Genomic DNA, 20509 nt, shown 5'->3' on the forward strand with positions numbered 1-20509 from the left:
CTCTCCCTATCCTTCCCTCTCTCTACCCTTCCCAACCTCTAATAACTACAATTCTACTCTCTACTTCTACAAGCTAGTTTTTTTTTAGCTTTTGCATGAGTGAGAACATTTGGTATTTATCTTTCTACATCTGGCTTGTTTCCCTTAACATGATGTCCTCCAGGCTCATCCATGTTGCTGTGAATGACAGAATTTTATTTGTGTGTGTGTGTGTGGCTGAATGGTATTCCATTGTTTATACTGATATGGTTTGGCTGTGTCCCCACCCAAATCTCATCTTGAATTGTAGCTCCCATGGTGGGGAGGGACCCAGTGGAAGATCATTGAATCAGGAGGGCGATTTCCCCCATACTATTGTCATGGTAGTAAGTCAGTCTCATGAGATCTGATGGTTTTATAAGGGGAAACTCATTTTGCTTGGCTCTTATTCTCTCTTGCCTGCCGCCATGTAAGACATGGCTTTCACCTTCTGCCATGATTGTGAGGCCTCCCCAGCCATGTGGAACTATGAGTCCATTAAACCTCTTTTTCTTTATAAACTACCCAGTCTTGGGTATGTCTTTATTAGCAGTGTGAAAACAGACTAATACATATATGTACCACATTCTCTTTATTCATTCATCCATTGATGGATCTGTAGGTTGGTTTCATATTTGGGCTACTTTGAATAGGGCTGTAATAAACACTGAGGTGCAGGTAGTTCTTGGATATATTGATTTCCTTTCCTTTGGATAAATACCCAGTAATAGCACTGCTGGATCGTGTGGTAGTTCTATTTTTAGTTTTTTAAGAAACTTTCGTACTATTTTTCATAATGGCTGTACTAATTTACATTCTCACCAACAGTGCACAGGAGTTTCCTCTTCTCTGCATCCTCTCCAGCATTTATGTTATTTTTTGTCTTTTTGAGGATGGCCATTTGACTTGGAGTGAGATGATACCCCAGCATGGTTTTGATTTATATTTCCCTGATGATTAGTGATGTTGAACATTTTTTCATATACTTATGTCTTCTTTTAAAAAAAAGAAGTCTATTCAGAACCTTTACCAAAGTACATAATTCCCAGTTCACAGAAGATTTTTTAAATGTATATTTTAGTTTTCATGGCTCTAGGTTAATCTGGTAATACACCTTACTTAAATTTTCAAAACTTAAGAACTCCTTTCCACTCATTATCCTAAGATTGCCATCCATCATAATAGTACAAATAGTTGGAGATGGTGAAGAAACATGTAGACAGAAAAAGAAGTAAAATAGACAAGGAGACAGAGAAGGAAGTAAATGGAGTCAAATTATGAGAATAAACTGTGTCAGAAAATTGAGTCCAAGTCTTTATTCCACAATGTTTGACAGAAAGGGAAAGGAAGATAGTTCAGAGAGAGAGAAACAGACAGGAGTTCTCTACTGACAGAAGGAGAAGGTAAGGATGGATGCAATTCAGTACAATATTTGTCTATTTTTGAATTTTATTTTACTAAATATTAAGTAGGTACTAAAGTTCATTTTACAATATATATAAGCTATATAGAATTGTGACCCAATGAACTCTCATACACCTGCCCCCAAGTTTATAAAAGAACATTATCCTTGGGCTAGAAGGCCCTGATGTGTGGGCCTCCAATTCCATCCCCTTACAGATAACCTGAATCTACAGCCAACATCTGGCTAACTCCATTAACCCAGATGACTATTGCTTGGGAGAAGCAGGTTGGAGAGAAGTGAGTACCTATCATCAGAGACTCAGAAGCTGGAGATGATATGGTTCCCTCTCTCACTCACAGTCTGGTAGGGAAAGAGAAATGAATACAACTAGCTGTGGTACAAGGCAAGATGTGAGAAGTACCATGATAAGAGGACTAAATCCTAGAAAAACACAGAAACAACAGACATTGTTCCATCTGGGGTGAGCAGGGGAAACTTCATGGACAAGGTGGCCTATCTGCCTTTCGTGTAAAGGATTTATAAAGATGAAAGGAAAGGGCAAATGTAACAATCATTAAAAAGGCAGGGAAAAGAAGGTGGTCTGAATGACTATTTCATCCAGGGATGACTAAGTATAGGAGAGGGAAGAGTCCAACTTCAGGCTAGGATGAAAGTACAGAGTTTGGTAGAAATCCCCTGGAAAATAAAAATTCTTCTAGAAACTAAAAACTAGCTATAAGTTTGGGCAATATTTATTTTCTGCACACGGGAGTCTGGAAGGTTGTCATGTGTGTCTCATCTCTCCTCCTTTCTCTGCCTACCCTATCACCCCTGCATCAAATCACTTACCAAGCACCACCAATTCTCCATCCATATCCTCTCTTCTATCTCTTCTTTTTGTCACTCTAATTCCACTGTGTGCTTAATGACTGAAAGACTCCTGCATGGTGCCATGTTTCCTCTCTCCCTCTTCAATCTACACCTGAATCCTTTGAAAGGCAGGCTAGGGACCTGGCTGCTTAGCAGGACACAGAGGTCAAGGAGGTGAGTGTGGCTTACAGCTGGGGAGGAAAGCCTGCAGTGAGAGCCACGAACACAGGACTAAGCCACAGGTCATAGGGAGGGGGTATGGGTGGGTCAAGGTCAAGTTTGGAACCAACTGGAAAGCAGGGTACACGAAAAGCTAGTGGTGTCAATGGGAAGCCTTCAATCATACCAGGCACCAAGGACCACTGGTTGGTTTTTACTGGGGCCAGTTGTATGGGGAGGGGGACAGAACTACCAGGCTAGGGGAGGCACACAGAACCAGTGACCACATAACAACTCCAGTGAGATGTCTTCTTCCAGGGCCCAGTTCACCCAGCCTCCTTGCGCTCCTTGAAGACATCTTTGACAGTGCTCTCAGCCGCAGCCACTTCTCTCAGGCACGCCCTCCATCCATTTTGCTCCCTTTGCCCTGTCTCTACCCCACAAGGCAGATTGTAGAAGCTGCACAGGTTTTGCAGCCTGACCAACCTAAGACTGAAGAATATCAATCAATAGGATTGGTGAGCTTCACTTGGCCTCAGCTTCCTCAGAGAGAATGACACCTGTTTCAAGGCATCATTGTGAGGAATAAATGAGAGTACACGGGGCCCATGCCAGGTGTAGAGTGAAGGCTCGATAAATAGGTCTTCTTAATTTTTCAGAGACAGGGTCTCACTCTGTTGCCTAGGTTGGAGTGCGGTGGTACAACCATAGCTCACTGCAGCCTCACACTCCTGGCCTCAAGCAATCCTCCTGCCTTTGCCTCTCACAGTGCTGGGATTACAGGTGTGAGCCACTGCACCCGGCCTAGTGCTTTACCCAACAAATATTTACAAAGAACCTACTGTGAGCCAAACACCTTACCAGCTGCTGGGGATTTTATGGTGAGCAGAACCAGACATGTTCCCTGTCCTCATGCAGCTTCCAGTCTAGAGGGGAAGACAGACATTAATTCGTAACCACAAAAATAATGACAAAGTAACAGGTATGAAAAGGGCTATGGGGGCTGAGAACGTGTTTATTTGAGAGGTTTGGTGATTCTGAGAATCAGGAAAAGCCATCTTCAAAACCCTGCTCAAAAGCCTGCCCTAATTCCTCCCAACTGGAAGTGATCCTATTGGCTTGTAAATTCTCAGCAGGAAGCATGCATCCTGCAATTGACACTTAGCTTACCGTATTGTGTCCAGTATTTTCACCAGTGGTGTACACATCCTGTCTCCTCTGCCAGAGTGTAAATTCTCTGTAGGCAGAGTAGGCCATCTACATCTTTGCGTGCGTCACAGTATCTGTTAAAAGTCGATTATTTTAATGAATCGGCGAAATTAGCTTCCTGAAAGCTGCCACAATTTAACTGGACTCGAAGCTTTATGTTTGCTTTTTGCAAGCCAAGTTCTCATTGATTTCTAAGTCATTGGTCAGAACATAAGAGGTGGTGTGTAGGGAAACAATAATTTGGCTTCTGAGAAATTGCATAATATCCATACCTCACAGGGTGTAATGCCCCTTCACTACCGCTGAAAAATCCCAGACCTGAGTTTGACTCACCTATTATTTAGGGATACACAGACCAGAAAAAGTGAGACTACTGTAATTCCGTTTGCGAAATCTTCAATCTCTAAATTTTACAATTAGAATCTCAATTTGTGATCTAGAGAAAAAATAATCGAATACCAGAAAAAAAAACCTCTGTGTGCTGGAATATTCATGCCTGTTAGATTGCTTATGTAGGAAGGGAAAAATATCTTTTCCTCCTACCCTTTTAAATTCAGAGCTGAATCCTTTATAATAAAAGATTAACCAGAGAAAAACATAGTGGTTTATTTAAACAAGTTCTACGTAACACAAGGGCCATCCTCAGGAAGTGAAGATCAGAGGAAACAGTTACACTTGAGTGTTTTTAGTAGTAGGTTTGATGAAGAATGGAGAGACACTTGCAGAAATATGATCAGGCAAAAAGAGTACTAGATCTAATAGGAATAAATGGAGGGAAACTTAGCAGAGCCCGTTTGTTCAGATTCTCCTCTGGGTCCCTGTGTCTTGGGAGATAGGGAACTGCCTTTCCTCTGTGGATACAGGAAGAGCACCTCTCACATGAGGGTCCTATGATGTGTTTTAGAGGAAGGTCAGCAAAGGTTTTATTACCTGCTTCCGGGGAGAAAGGTGGCAAAGGAAGGTCAGAGTAATATTTCCACTTAAAATTTGCCATTTTCTCAAATCCTTCAGCTTAAAAAATTCAGTTTGCCAAGGTGCCATATTTTGGGGCAGCGTGTCCTCAACCCCATCACTGATTATTAAATCTGACCCTGCAGTTAATCCTGTAAATCAACTCAGATAAGCAACTGTAGCCATATAATGATGGCCAGGAGATTAAGTTCCACCTTAACTCTGGAAAAGCATGTTTATATTTTAATGTCAAGAGCTGCCCTCTTGTCTATATGTGCTTTTTTATTGTTATTAGTAACTATAATTATGCTTGACATTAACAATGGCTATAACAAATATGAAAGCCAAAAGAATCAAAGGAAACGTTTTGCTATTAAAGTACTTAAGTATTTTATTTAAATTCGTTTTATTGGTATCTTTGATTTTTTTTTTTTTTTTTTTTTGAGACAGAGTCTTGCTCTGCACCAGGCTGTAATGCAGTGGCGTGATCTTGGTTCACTGCAAACTCTGCCTGCCAGGTTCAAGTGATTCTCCTGCCTCAGCCTCCTGAGGAGCTGGGACTACAGGCGCGCACCACCACACCCAGCTAATTTTTGTGTTTTTAGTAGAGACAGGGTTTCACCATGTTGGCCAGGATGGTCTCGATCCCTTGACCTCATGATCCTCCCACCTCAGAATCCCAAAGTGCTGGGATTACAGGCATGAGCCACTGCGCCTGGCCTCTTTGAATTTTTTTAAAAACATCCTGGTGCTAAAAGGCAGCAAGATTCATAAATGCAAACAAACATATAAATAAACAACCAGGCCCTCTTCCCTTTTAAATAATCTGTGAAATAAAAATAATCTATCTGCATAGGAAACAATTATCAAATCAGCATCTACAATGTGGCCCAATAAAAGAAAGGGTTTTCATATTTGATCCTGTTTTTGGTTCCTCAAAATTAAAAACTTGGCTCCACTCTGTGCTGTATAATGATAGATTTTTTTTAAGAAGAGAGAGAGTGGGAATTCTCTTGCTGTTTCCATGGGTTTCATCATCTTTTTTTCCATGACTCATAATGGCTTCTTGCAAACACTCTTGTTCCCTTGATCTCATGGAGCGAATGAATGCTCTTAAGCTAGTTTTCATCAACCAGTCAGCATTCCTCCTGCTTTCCAACTGTGCATCCTCAGCTGGACACAAACATTTTCCAGTCTACTCATTCACAAAATAAACTTCTGAGTATTCTTCAAAGGGCTCGGTCCAACTTGCCCGGGGATATTCTGAAGATTTAAATAAAAGCAAGAAAATATTATTCACACAAAAATTTTGTTAAGTGTTACTTGAATTAGAATGGGCAGAAAACAATTTTAAAACCGTTTGTTAAAACTATGGCTTATAAGACCACCAAAAAATGTTCTCAAGTCTCTGATTCAGGGCTCTTTCAGGGCAACCTGACCGCCTCAGCCTCCCAAAGTACTGGGATTACAGGCGTGAGCCACCACACCCTTCCATGACTTCTTTTCCTTTGGGTAGATACCCAGTAGTGGGATTGCTAAATGGAACAGTAGTTCTATTTTTAGTTTTTTGAGAAATCTCCATACTGTTTTCTGTAGTGGCTATACTAGTTTACATTCCTACCAGCAGTGTATAAGAGTTCCCAAAGTTGGGACAGTTATTCTCCCTTTTCAGGGTGACCCCAGGACTGATTCTGTGTTACGCCATGACACCCCCCATTATATCCCTAAGAAGACATTGTGCTCAGTGATAACAAACTTCTCAGCCTAGGACCAAGGAAACCTAGAGTCTCCACTAACCTCTGCTGCTACAGCATGTTTGGTTTATTTTCTATATCTATCAAATGAAAGTGTAAGTGTTCATGCCAGTTTCTTTCAATTATAACATTCCATGATTCTAACACAGAGACATAGAAATTGGGATTTATTCATTTACTCAACAAATCCTTATTGAACATCTAAACGCTAGGCATCATGTCCTCTGAAGGAGGAGTCTCTCTATCGTGCTCCCCAAGTCCCTCTCTTCACATGTGAACACCTTTATCATGTTACTTGAGTCTTTATTGGAATTAGGGCTTCTCTAATCTGACTCCTCCATTGACTACATTGTTGTTTTTGCCAATGAGTAGGATTCTCAACATACAGTAGGTGGTCAAAAATCATTTGGTGAATGAACAAAGAAAGAGGAACTCTTCAGATGCAAAGATAAGCATCCCAGAATGAACAACCAGAATGAGAGGTCTCGAGCATAATAATATCCAGTAATATTTCATTGACACAATCATATGACTACACTATATGCTACTTAGGAATTTCTGAGCCAACAGCAGACCCTGGTTGCACTGAGACCCAAAGTACTAAGACCTGCCTCTCTTTAACCTTGAACACAGACAGATTCTTGGCACTAAGTTTCAATTTGGCGTATTGAGCCATCGACGCTGGATCCCTTTGGCTGCCTCTCCCAATCTGCCCTCCACTCGTTTCCACCCTACTTGGTGCCCTGGGAGGCCAACTTACATAACTGCCTCCGCTGGGCTCCAGTGCCCTCTGGCTCTGGCTGGGTTTGGTCAATGGGGGAGTACTAGCACATTAGAGGAAGAGATGATGGCAAAGTTGGGGTTTGTTTGTACAAATTTATGGGGTACCTGTTAACTTTTGTTCTATGTATATAATGCATAGTGATTAGTGATCAAGTCAGAATACTTAGGATATCTGTCGCCCAAGTACAATACATTTTTGTGTAATTATAGTCACGCTACTGTGCTTTCACACATTCAATGTATTCCTTCTATCTGACTGTACATTTGTACCCTTTAACCCATTTCCCTTCACTTTAATCCATTTCCCTTCATCCTCTCCCCACAACTTACCTTTCCCAGTCTCTGTTCTCTATCTTTCCACTCTACTTCCATGTGATCAACTTTTTTAGCTCTCACCTACAAGTGGAGAACATGTGATATTTGCCTTTTTGTCCGTGGCTTACTTCACTTGAGATAATGACCTCCAGTCCCATCCAAGTTGCTGCATATGGCACGATTTCATTTTTTATGGCAAATATTTCATTGTATATATGCACCACATTTGTTTATCCATTCACCTGTTGATGGGCACTTAGGTCCATTCCATATCTTTGCTATTGTGAATAGTGCTACAATAAACATGTGAGTATAGGTATCCCTTTGCTATAGTGATTTATTTTCTTTTTCCGTTTCTTTCTTTTTTTGTTTTTTAAGACATGGTCTCATTTTGTCTCCCAAGCTAGAGCGCAGTGGCATGGCATGAACACAGCTCACTGCAGCCTCAACTTCCCAGGCTCAAGTGATCTTCCTGCCTCAGCCTCCCCAGTAGCTGGGATTTCAGACACGTGTCACCACGCCTGGCTAATTTTTGTATTTTTTGTAGAGACAGGGTTTCACCATGTTGCTCAGGCTGGTCTCGAACCCCTGAGCTCCAGCAACCTGCCCACCTCAGCCTCCCAAAGTGCTGGGATTACAGATGTGAGCCACCACACCCTGAGGTGATTTATTTTCCTTTGGGTAGATACCCAGTAGCGGGATTGCTGAATGGAAGAGTAGTTCTATTTTAAGTTTTTTGAGAAATATCCTACTGTTTTCTGTAGTGGCTATACTCTTCCTACCAACAGTGTAAAAGAGTTCCCAAAGTTAGGATAGTTATTCTCTCTTTTCAGGGTGACCCCAGGCTATAGTGTCCCTTGACCAAATGTCACAGCTCCTGTAGGACAGCCCTCCTCACACACTGTGTGTGTGTGTTTGTGTGTGTGTGTGTGTGTGTATACATGCATGCATGTCTGTCTCTGTCTCTGTCTCTCTGGGTTTCTTTCCCCTTTAGTCTTAAAGACAGTAGCAGGGCCCCACTCTTCCTAGTCTCAGGGTGCTGCATTCTCCCTTTTAGTTTTCCCACACCCTAGTTTAATATGCCCTTCATTAAACTAATCTCAAATTATTCAATTTGAGTGCAATATCAATTTCCTGATAGGACCTTGACTGAAAAACCACCCACGTATTCTGAAGAGTAAATGATATAACCAATTACCACAAAGCACAATAAGTGGGATGCTTATAAATGCTAGTTTCCCTCCCCTTCCCTGTTATAATTTTTATACCCCCTACAATGGCTATTCCTAGTGCCTTTAACATAATTGCTACTTAAGAAAGATTTGATGAATGAATAAAAAAAAATTTCAACACTTTTGACCATACTTTTAGACTTAAATTCATGGAAATCAATATGCATTAATTTAGATTATCAGATGTTACATTTAGAGAAGTTTTTATTTCAATAATTGTGGAGGAGGCAGTTTGCTTTACACATCTCATTCTCTATTTTCTCATAGTCTAACTAAGTTATGGCTCAACTCCGGAAAAACAGGGCCAAGGGATAAGCTATCATCTCAGGAGCAGTTTAAAAGACTAACAGATTAGTTTAACAGACTAAGAGATCCATCTACTGATCCTTCCTAGATCTTAGAGAAAATAGTCATTTTATTTCATGTCATCTAATTCATATGAACTGACTTTGCAAATTCATCATTTTCTACCTCCTACCAGATAGAAATGGAGTTTGGGATCAACTGTGCATCCTTGAATTTATCTGTGTTTATAATGAAGAAGTCGATAAAGCCGAATCATCACTCACCGTGTATATTGATCTCACTGATGCACTGTGGAAGTAACTTATAGTTCTGGAATTGGGGGAAGCACTTCCTGGACTTGATCCAAAGGCAGCCTCTGCGTGGTCTCTGCTATTTAAGAAGGAGAACTGTTTTAGTCTATATGTAGTAAATAGCAAAAAGAGACAGGCTTATTCTAATGTAGTAAGAGTAGCAAGAGAAGCATGCTCTACCTCTAGAAAGGATTTTGGGACTTTCTACCCTCACTAATTTTCCTGCCTACCTCTCTAACACCTTTCACCCATTTCTCTCAACTCCTCACCCCACGTCCTGGGCACAAATACCTGAAGCATAGTTAAGGAAGACAACGTAGAGAACAAATTTAAAGTCCAGTGTCAAGTAGCAAGCAAAGAATCTTAGTTTGGAAACTGACTGCAAACATTTTATTCTATCACATTTTGTTGAAATATGTCCCTAAGGAGAATATTAATGATGTCTTTGATCTCAGGGACAATTTTACCAAGAAGCAAAGTCACAAATTAGATGAATTCTAATCTGTCTTCCTGCTCATGACTGTATGACTTTTTAAAATTCTTCTAATATTATCCTCAGCTGACTTCGAGGTGGAAGATGAAACTTTATTTCCTACATCATGACATCTCGTTCATTCTCCTAAGATCCACGGTCTTGTTTTTCTAGCTTTTATATTGAGAATTGAGTTTTTGTTTCATAGACATCTCTACTTTTGATACAAAGCCCTGAACACAGGTGAAATTGAGGTGACCTATAATTTTTTTTTTTAAGACAGAGTTTCGCTCTTGTTGCCCAGCCTAGAGTGCAATGGTGCCATCTTGGCTCACCACAACCTCTGCCTCCCGGGTTCAAGTGATTCTCCTGCCTCAGCCTCCCGAGTAGCTGGGATTACAGGCATGCACCACCATGCCCGGCTAATTTTGTATTTTTACTAGAGACGGGGTTTCTCCATGTTGATCAGGCTGGTCTGGAACTCCCAACCTCAGGTGATCCACCCACCTCAGCCTCCCAAAGTGCTGGGATTACAGGTGTGAGTGACCGCGCCCAGCCGAGGTGACCTACAATTTAAAGAGAAGTTTGGGTGGTTGCTACTTAAGAAGAGAAATCAGAAAGGGAGATTTAGTGTATTCAAGAAAATTATGCTTCTTGTCCATGAAGATGATCAAACACTGGTACAGAAATACTGTAGAACCTTCTCTGGGAATTTTTTTTTTTTTTTTTTTTTTTTTTTTTGAGACAGAGTCTCACTCTGTCGCCCAGGCTAGAGTGCAATGGTGCGATCTCAGCTCACTGCAACCTCCGCCTCCTGGGTTCAAGCAATTCTGTCTCAGCCTCCTGAGTAGCTGGGATCACAGATGTGTGCCACCACACCTGGCTAAGTTCTGTATTTTTAGTAGAGACGGGGTTTCACCATGTTGGCCAGGCTGGTCTTAAACTCCTGACCTCAAGTGATCCACCTGCCTCGGCCTCCCAAAGTGCTGGGATTACAGGCATGAGCCACCATTCCCTGCCTCTTTCTTTCTTTTTTTTTTTTTCTGGGGAGTAGTGGGGAGGGATTCACTGCCTTCTATACCCAGAAGGTCAATATTCTTGGCACATAGTAGGCTCACACCAAAAAACTGTTTTTGGAAGAATTTATTCTGAATGAGCCTGAGCAACCTTTCACGTGTGTAAGCGCCAGCCGTTTGTATTTCCTTTTCTGTAGGCAGTCCAGTCTTATCCTTCACCATTTGCCTCCTGCATTGTGGTCTTTTCTTCAATTATTAGAAGCTCCTTATTTACTAGAGATTTAGTTGCTTACTCGATAAACTGCAAATAATTTTGCCCATTAATTGTTGGTCTTTTTTCTTAGCTTGTGATAGTTTTTTTGCTGTGTACATTTTTTTCCACATAGTCAATTTGATGAGTCTCTTCTCTGAGTTTTGTGTCATGATTAGAAAGACCAATTTTGCAGTTATAAATGAGTCGTAGCATTGATTCTTCTATTACTTTTATAGTTTAATGTTTAAATTAAAATCATTGATCCATTTAAAAGTCACCCTAATGTGAGTGTGAGATCTTGATTAAGTTAACTTGTTGTCCTAAACGATTATTCAGTCATCCCAATACCAGTCAGTTTGTAATCCAGTACCTTGATGGAATGAATACCTCTCCTCTATTCTTCTATTTCAATTTTTTCCTGGCTATTACTCACAGTTTACTTTTCATAGGGATATTGAAATGAACTTGTTTATTTCAAAAGATATTATTTTTATTTATTTAGGAAGAATTAGCATCTTTATATATTCGTCTTCCTCTTCAAGAACATGATACATTTTTCCTTTATTCAAGTCATTTTTATGTCACTCAGTAGCATTTTACTGAAGTTTTCTTCAGAAAGATCTTGCAAATTTCTTACTAAGTTTATTCCTAGTTACTTTATTTATAATTGTTTTAAATACAGTGTATCCTCTAACTGGTTATTGTTTAAGTAGGTGGATCCCATTAATTTTTTAAATATTTTTGTACCCTGTCCCTTACTAAATTTTTCTTTTTTCATGATTTCTTTAAGGGAATTGTCTTAGGTTTTCCAGGTACACAATTGTATCATCTGCAGAATACGTGATCATTTTACCTATTCTTTCCAGTTTTGAAACTTCGTATTTCTGATCACTTAACTAACTGTGTTGACTAGTACTTCCAATACAATGGTAGATAAAATGGCAGTAGTGGACACCCTGGAAAATTTCTGGCTCGGCAGGGCACGCTTTTAGTGTTTCCCTATAAAACATATTTCTGGGGTTTTTTGTTTGTTTGAGAGAAATATATTTTATCATTTTATCACATTAAGGAAGTATGTATTTGTCTTATTTTTATTAGAAGTTTTAATGAAAAATGCATTGTATTTTGTCAAATGCATTTTTAGTATAACCAACCATTTATCTCTTTACATCTATAAATATGATGATGAGTAACAGGTTTTCTAATGCTAAACTGTCCTATAATTCCTGGAATAGGCCCCCTTGATCAGGAAGGAGTGCGTGTGTGTGTGTGTGTGTGTGTGTGTATGTGTGTGTGTGTTATTTTTAAACTGTGCTACTGGATTGCTAATGTTTTATTTAGGATTTTTGCATGGATATACACAAGTAAGATTTCTCAATGATTTATTTATTTTTTCTTTCTTTCTCTCTTTTTTTTTTTTTTTTAGACAAGCTCTTGCACTGTCACCCAGGTTGGAGTATAGTGGTGCCATCATGGCTCACTGCAGCCTCAAACTCCTGGGCTCAAGCAGTCCTCCTGCCTCAGCCTTGCAAAGCCCTGAGATTACAGGCATGAGCCACTGCATCCAGGCTGATTTCATTTTAGACTCAATCTTTCTTGGATTTGAATATTATTAATAATGTTTATTTCAAAAATAGAATTAGGAAATATCTTTGGTCTTGCAACAGTTTAAATACATTGGAAATACCTATGTCTTAGAGATTGGTAGCATTCTCCTGCGAACTGCTCTTCCTGTTACTTTTTGAAGGACAATTAACACATTTTCTATTTCTTCCATGACAATTTAGATTTTCTAATTCTTCTGGTGTTGGGTTTTATACATTTTTCCCAGAAAATTATATATTTTAACTGAAGATTTTTTTTAATTAAAAGTAATTTTTTTTTTTTTTGAGATGGAGTTTCATTCTTGTCGCCCAGGCTAGAGTGCAATGGCATGATCTTGGCTCACTGCAACCTCTGCCTCCCGGGTTCAAGAGACTTCCTGTCTCAGCCTCCCAAGTAGCTGGGATTACAGGCACACACCACCACACCCAGCAAATTTTTTTGTATTTTTAGTAAAGACAGGGTTTCACCATGTTGGCCAGGCTAGTCTCAAACTCCTGACCTCAGGTGAACCGCCCACCTCGGCCTCCCAAAGTCCTGGGATTGCAGGCATGAGCCACCGCGCCTGATCTGAAGATTTTTAAAATTAAGATAGTAACTACTGTTTAAGGGGCAGGAATAAATAGGCCATTTCCAGCAGATATTGAGGGCCCTTAGATGTCTACGGAAAAACTAAAATCACCACTAAAGTTAGAATTTCTTCTTACCCTTTAGACTTCTAAAGGGTAAATGACAAAACTTCCTTTGACTTATTAGGACAAAGAGGGGAAAATGAGACCCGAGGCCATCTTTACCTGGCCCACAGCACTCATCTCCTGCTCTCCTCCACACACATCCATTGCATTTGAGCCCCTTGGCATCCTTAACTTTTATTTTATTGTCATTAAGTACCAACCACATCTATGGGGCTATGTCTGTCAGCCCAGTCTCACACTAGAAGTTCCTAGCAGTCTGTGATTTTTTTTCTTTTCTTTTTTCTTTTCTTTTTTTTTTTTTTTTGAGACAGAGTCTCGCTTTTTCACCCAAGCTGGAGTGCAGTGGTGCAATCTCGGCTCACCGCAACCTCCACCTCCAGAGTTCAAGTGATTCTCATACCTCAGACTCCCGAGTAGCTGGAATCACAGGCATGTGCCACCATGCCCAGCTAATTTTTATATTTTTAGTAGAGATGGGGTTTCATCATGTTGGCTAGGCTGGCCTCGAACTTCTGATCTCGAGGCCTACCTTGGCCTCCCAAAGTGCTGGGATTACAGGCATGAGCCACTGCGCCTGGCCTGTGATTTTTGTCTTTCTAAAAGAATGGCTGTGGATCATTCTAAGATAGTCCCCAGGAGTCCCACCCCCCTGATGTGCAATACTCATTATAATCTCCTCTCCTTGAGCGTGGGCAAGACCATGAACCAGATGGGATTTCACTCCTGTGATTAGGTCATATTATAAGGCATAGATGAAGGGATTTTACAGGTATGACTAATATCCCAAATCAATAAAAGGGGAGGCCATCTTGGATGGGCCTGAATTAAAGAGGTAAAATCCCTTAAAAGAGAAACGGCCCTTCCTGAGGTCAGAAAGACTCTCACTAGCCTTAAAGAAGCAAACTGCAGGCTGGGCGCAGTGGCTCACGACTGTAATCCCAGCACTTCGGGAGGCCAAGGCGGGAGGATCACCCGAGGTCAGGAGATCGAGACCATCCTGGCCAACATGGTGAAACCCCATCTCTACTAAAAACACAAAAATTAGCTGGGCATGGTGGTGCGTGCCTGTAATCTCAGTTATTTGGGAGGCTGAGGCAGGAGAATCCCTTCAACTCACTCGGGAGGCGGAAGTTGCAGTGAGCCAAGATCATGCCACTGTTCTCCAGCCTGGTGACAGAGCTAGACTCCGTCTCAAAAAAAAAAAAAAAAAAAAAAGCAAACTGCCATGCTGTGAAATGCCTATGGACAGGGACTCCTGGTGGTGACTGCCAAGTGGCCTCTGGGACCTGAGGACAGCCTCCAGTGGACAGCCGGGAAGATGCCAAGGCCCTCCGTACACAGCCGTAAGTGAATTCTTCCCATAACCCGAGTGAGCGTAGATGCATAGCATCCAGATGGGAATGCAGTCCAGCTGACATCTTGATTTCAGCCTGTGAGACCCTAAGCAGAAGATCCGGTTAAGCCACGCACAGATATCTGACCAACAGAAACTGTGAGATAATAAGTGTGTGCTGTTTTAAGCCACTAAGTGTGTGGTAATTGGTTACACAACAACAGAAAGCTAATAAGTACAGTGACTGACAGACCCTTGGCCTGAAAATCAACAGAGGTAGTTATTTAAAATGCATGTTGCAGATCTATTGAATTAAGAATCTATCTTCATAGAAGCCTAGGAGCCTGGATTTTTATAGACATCCAAGTTGATTCTGACGCACATTAAAGCTTCAGAATGAATTTACCATGCAAATAACAAAGCATCTTATAACCCACAATTTAACATTTGACATTGTTCTTTTGTTGTTGTTGTTGTTGTTGTTGTTCTTGTTTGAGACAGAGTCTGGCTCTGTTGCCCAGGCTGGAGTGCAGTGGCACAATCTTGGCTCACTACAGCCTCCACCTCCCAAGTTCAAGCAATTCTCCTGCTTCAGCCTCCTGAGAAGCCGGGACTGCAAGCGTGCACCACCACACCGGCTAATTTTTGTATTTTTAGTAGAGATGGGGTTTCACCATGTTGGCCAGGCTGGTCTCAAACTCCTGGCCTCAAGTGATCCGCCCACCTCGGCCTTCCAAAATGCTAGGATTACAGGCTTGAGCCACTGGGCCCAGCTGAGATCATTCTTTATAAAGGTTAAGATATCAAAAGAGCCTATTCATGAAACTAAATAATTATCCAAGGAAATTAACAGAGTTCTTTTCGTTGAAAAGCCAAACCGCTGGTTTGGCTGGTGTTTGCTGGTGTTTATAGCATAAAATATAACTGTAATTTACAACAGAAAGCGATTGCCTGTCAAAATGATGGCTAGTCTAAAGTAATTCTCTAGTGGGGCATTATCTTCAGTTTCTTTCAGTATCCAAAGTCATGTAACTTATATGGTAATAGCAAATCTTCTAAAAATTGATTAAAAGGCAAAAAGGTAGGATATATGTCATTTTAATGCCTTCTTCAGAATAGCTAAAACGGGTGGAAATTTTTTCTGGTTCTACATAAGAAATACAATTTCTTTCAAATAATATTAATTCACCAACACTAGTTAAGGCAGTAGAAACAGTCAGAAATATTTTAAAGCTTCACAGCAGTCTTTTCATGAATTTATCAAATCTCTGAAACAAACATTTCTATGACTTCTTTTCAGAAACTTCAAACAGCCTTAAAAAAATTTTTTTAAATCCCAGTCTGAATTTTGACCTGGCTGAATCTAGTGAACAAAATGGATTTTCAGGAGTAGAAACTGATTAAAAATAAAATTCCATGCCTTATGCTCTCAAATAAAGCCCCTATCACACTATCCCTGACCATGCCCAGGCAGCCCTCGGATGCTTCTTCTTTTTCTTCTTTTAGATAAAGATTTCTATCGCTTTTCAAAGGTGCTTTATATCCATGACATCTGGTATCTAACCTCAACTCATCTTTCCCAAGTAACTTTTGATTCCCACTGAGTACTGGAAACTTGCAAGGTGTTTTCGTTACTTTGGTCCTGATGATTTTCATGTCAAAGACAAGGTCCATCTCCCACCATGAAAGCTCATCTAAAACTTCTTCATCCTAGCCAGCCTCTCTTGACTGCTAAGGGAATTTGCCCCAGCCATTTTTTTTTATTCTCTTATCTCCAAAACTACTTGTTCAGCTACATTTTATATGGTTATTAAATTGGAAAGCCAAAAGTAACTTTTAAAAAAATACCAAGAAGGAGTAAATAGGGTTAGGAGATCACACAGTATCTGTCCCTCTGTGCCCTCCACGTCCCAAATAGAGAACTTACCCAACTTTGTTGTAATTACTCATTTGTCTGCCTCCTTGAGCACAAAGCTGGTATTCTGGGCACTGTTTTATTCCCCAGAACCTACCTTAGACACATAATAGGTACTCAACAAATATGGGCTGAATGATCAAAAGAATATCATTTAACGCCTCTGTGCCTCATTTCGCTCAGCAACAGGGTATGGGTTCAGGCAGTTCAAGGAGCAATTCCAGAGGGCCACCCATGATTTGGGGGTAACAAAAATAAAATGGTCCTCTGATTTTAATCTATAAAATCAGCACACGATCAGCACACAGACACACAAATTCATCTTCAAAAAATTATTCCCAATCCAAAGCTTGTTAAATGTTAAAACCTCTCTGTTAAATGAGCTTGTCAGGCTACCCCTAAAATGGGGAGAAAGTCTCAAGCTATCTGCCAAGGAATGCATTTTTTTTTTCTTTTGAGACAGGGTCTCGCTCTGTCACCTAGGCCGGAGTGCAGAGGCACAATCACATCTCATTGCAGCCTTCACCTCCCAGGCTCAAGGGATCCTCCCACCTGAGGCTCCCGAAATGTTGGATTACAGGTGTGAGCCACCACACCTGGACTGGCAAGGGAATGCATTTTAAGACCTAACCAACATCTGTTTCCTGTGATTTGACTTCCCACACGGATCTGTCTTGGGAGAGAAAATGCACATTTGCTGTCAGAAGTGTTTGATCTGTATTTCTCTCAATTGTATCATTCTTTATGGATTAATGCACTGGCCTTGAGGTTTTATAAACCTGTTGGTGTGAACTGCATTATACAATGGATCCTTCTTGATGTGCTGCCATTGCAGGAGGCTAAGTCCCCAGGCATAAAGGGAAGCACTGGACCAGATAGATTCACCGACATGAGGCACCTGTGCAGCCTTGTGGGCAGCAGCAGCCAAGCAGCCAGTCCTGGCAGGGTCCTGGCCTTGCCCCACACGTTCCATTCAAAGTTTTGGCAGTGGGGACCGACACCTGCACAACCAAGATCACTTCCCTGTGGCTTTCGCAAAGCTAGTGTGGCTGCCTTGAGGCTAAAAGGAGGAAAATAAAGGTAAGGATAAAATGAGATGAGAACTGTGAATTTTGATATATTATACTTGGGAAAATAGAAAGCACTATGAAGCACAAAAAATATTTTCACCAGCATCTTTTTAAGCCCTCCCAGGGGGCATGCACAGAATTTAGTAGGAGCCATATATATTCAGCAGGGGAGGCCTATGGGTAGCTGACCTTGGAAATGATGTCCCTAGCTCCTTCTTTTCTCCATCACACTTTGGGAGATGCAGCCATCATGACTCTTCATGGAAACTATGGCAATAAATGTCTAAACAGTTATCCATGAAGTATTTGGGTTTCCTCACAAGAGCTTCTCCAAAAATGAAGGAATTCAAGTTAGTCTTCATAGATTACTCAGGTCAAGACAGCTGTGAAAATTTTCTGATGGTTTAGTGATTCTTATTCAGTTCAGTGATCTGGCTTCAAAAAACCTTCCAGTCTTAATTATGTCTCCTTATTACCAGAGAAATGCAGAACTTCAATATTGCTATACATCATTCTGACCTTTTCATCACATAAAAACGTTGGCAGTTTTCTGTAAGCCCAAGATAGCGAGTAGCCTTTTAGGGCTAACAGAACCAATTATGGCCGCTTAAAATAGATTTCTGTTATTCAAGGTGCCAACTTCTTCCCATGTTCAAAGCTCCATCTGTTATTAACAATGATCCTAAAACTAGTCATCTGCTCCAAATCTAGTCAATGTGAAAATAAAATGAGGATGGAAAATAAATGACTGCAAAATTTTCCAGATTAACTAAAAAAAAAAAAAAAAAAAATCTTGAACTGACAGCTGCCAATATTCTGAGACACTGATTCAGTTTCTGGTTAATTCACACTGCAGGTATCTTTAATACTCCAAAGGATAAAACTGATGAAGTGTTTAACCATTTTCTTTTTATTATTTTGGATAGGCATAATCAAAAGTTATAAGTTAGAGGTGAAAGTATTTGAAAGGCTTTTGTAAGACAGCAGCAGCCATTCTTTCAACGCAGTCAATGTAGAGTTGTATTTATTTGGCAAATATTTATTGGGTACCTATGACATGCCCATATATATGCATTATGCTATGAGCTGGGGATGCAGTGATGAGTATCATCAGATAGTGTCCTTGACCTCAAAGAGCCAACTGGCTCATGGGAGAAACACTAATCAAATAATAACACAAAGCACAATAACACAAAAATGTAAAATAGCAACAGTGATTGTTGCTGCAAAGAAAGATGTACGGTGTTATGAGGGTGTGTAATAAGGAGAATCGACCTAGTCCAGGAGGTCTGAAACAACTTCGTTAGTTAAGCCAAGATCAGATGGGAAAGGAAAGATGGGAGCTAACGAGACAACATCAGGGTGGGAGGGGAGCAGGTTTGTAGAGGGTGGCAGGAGAGGCGGGATGGTTCAGGCAGGGACAATCTATATTAAGATGAAGGAGATGTTTATGTGCACATGTTTTACCATCAATTCTTCCAGGCCTGACATATATGCCTGTCACGTAAAGGCATTCAATGAATGACTGGAATAAATCGTCCTATTCCGCCTATAGATTCTTCACATTTGTGAATTTCTTCCTGCAAAAAGAATCATCCTCTTCACTTTGATCCATTCTGTAACCAAGCAGATGGCTGTAACCTTTCCTGTTTTATGAACCCAAATCTGTATTTTAAGAGTCATAAATAAGATAGTTAAGCAAGTAAAAATTAAATTTTCACGTTATCTTTCTTGGTTGCAGGACATCTGGCACCAGTAATTTATCTTCTCATCTGCAGGAAGTTGAAACCTGCTTAGTATTTATTATAGCGGCCATAAACATGTTCCAAATTATAATTTTACATTGCCATTAGTTTTATTTTGGTGTAATATAAATTATTGGGTCATCCACTTCCTTTTGACATTTAGTAATTCTCTTTCACAATAAAACTCCATTTTCTTTTGCTTCGTGTTCCCTCAGAACCCACTCACATTAATTGCAAGAAAATTTCAGCCAGTGCCACAATGAGGATGACTCACATTGTTATACACAAGCTCTTAGGACCTTATATAGACAAAATGTTTTGTCTCAGTTTCCAATGAGAAACTGAAAATGCAAAAGAGCAGGAAGGCTTTTGATCTGTGGCTTAAACCCCCAGTCCCCCAGTTCACTATTGACATTACATGGCGTGCTAGAAAGTGCATCAGTTGGACAGAACTGAGTTTGAACCCTGGCTCTGTTAGAAACCAGCTATGAACCAGTTACTTAAACTCCCTTATCTTCAGTTTTCTCATCAGGAAAAAAAACGGAGTTTTGAAATCAAATGAAATGATGTGCATGAAAGTACAGAACATACGGAAGGTGCTTAATGAGATATTAGTTTCCCTTCTCCTATGTCAACCACAGGTAGAATCTCCTTAACTATGTTGGAAGCTCTATAAAGGCAAGGACTGTGCCTATGGTATGTGCCCATTATATCACCAATGCTTAGTATAATGGCTGACCCGTAGTCAGTATTCAGTAAATATTGGTTAAATACTTAATGGTCGTAATGGTTAATATTGAGTGTCAACTTGACTGCATTGAAGGATGCGAAGTATTGTTCCTGGATGTGTCTGTGAGGGTGTAGCCAAAGGAGATTAACATTTGAGTCAGTGAGTTGGGAAAGGCAGACCTGCCCTCAATCTGAGTGGGCACCATCTAATCAGCAGCGATGGAGGCCAGAATAAAAGCAGGCAGAAGAACCTGGAAAGATTAGACTGACTGAGTCTTCTGGACTCCATCTTTCTCCATGCTGGATGCTTCCTGCCTTGGAACATCGGATTCCAGTGTTCTTCAGCTTTGGGACTCGGACTGGCTTCCTTACTCCTCAGCTTGCAGA

The 20509-nt window shown here is 40.6% G+C and overlaps 1 protein-coding gene across 15 annotated transcripts in view; it reads right to left on the minus strand.

Annotated features, from left to right (window-relative positions):
- Window positions 1-4977: 4977 nt before the first annotated feature.
- Window positions 4978-20509, minus strand: part of TMEM156 (transmembrane protein 156) — a 65666-nt gene continuing 50134 nt past the window's right edge. For 5 of the 15 annotated variants that reach the window (XM_011513753.3, NM_024943.3, XM_017008629.2 and 2 more), the window contains 2 exons: window positions 9266-9371; window positions 4978-5875 (listed from right to left, as the gene is read on the minus strand). In XM_011513753.3, coding sequence (XP_011512055.1) covers window positions 9304-9371 — 68 coding nt within the window. In that variant the 3' untranslated portion in view covers window positions 4978-5875; window positions 9266-9303. Of the gene's footprint in view, window positions 5876-7484; window positions 7546-9265; window positions 9372-18537; window positions 19265-19287; window positions 19421-20509 lie in introns of those variants that run through there. The other 10 variants (XM_047416190.1, NM_001303228.2, XM_047416192.1 and 7 more) reach the window with 7 other exon arrangements.

Source organism: Homo sapiens, chromosome 4 (genome assembly GCF_000001405.40).
Source record: "Homo sapiens chromosome 4, GRCh38.p14 Primary Assembly".
NCBI lineage: Eukaryota > Metazoa > Chordata > Mammalia > Primates > Hominidae > Homo > Homo sapiens.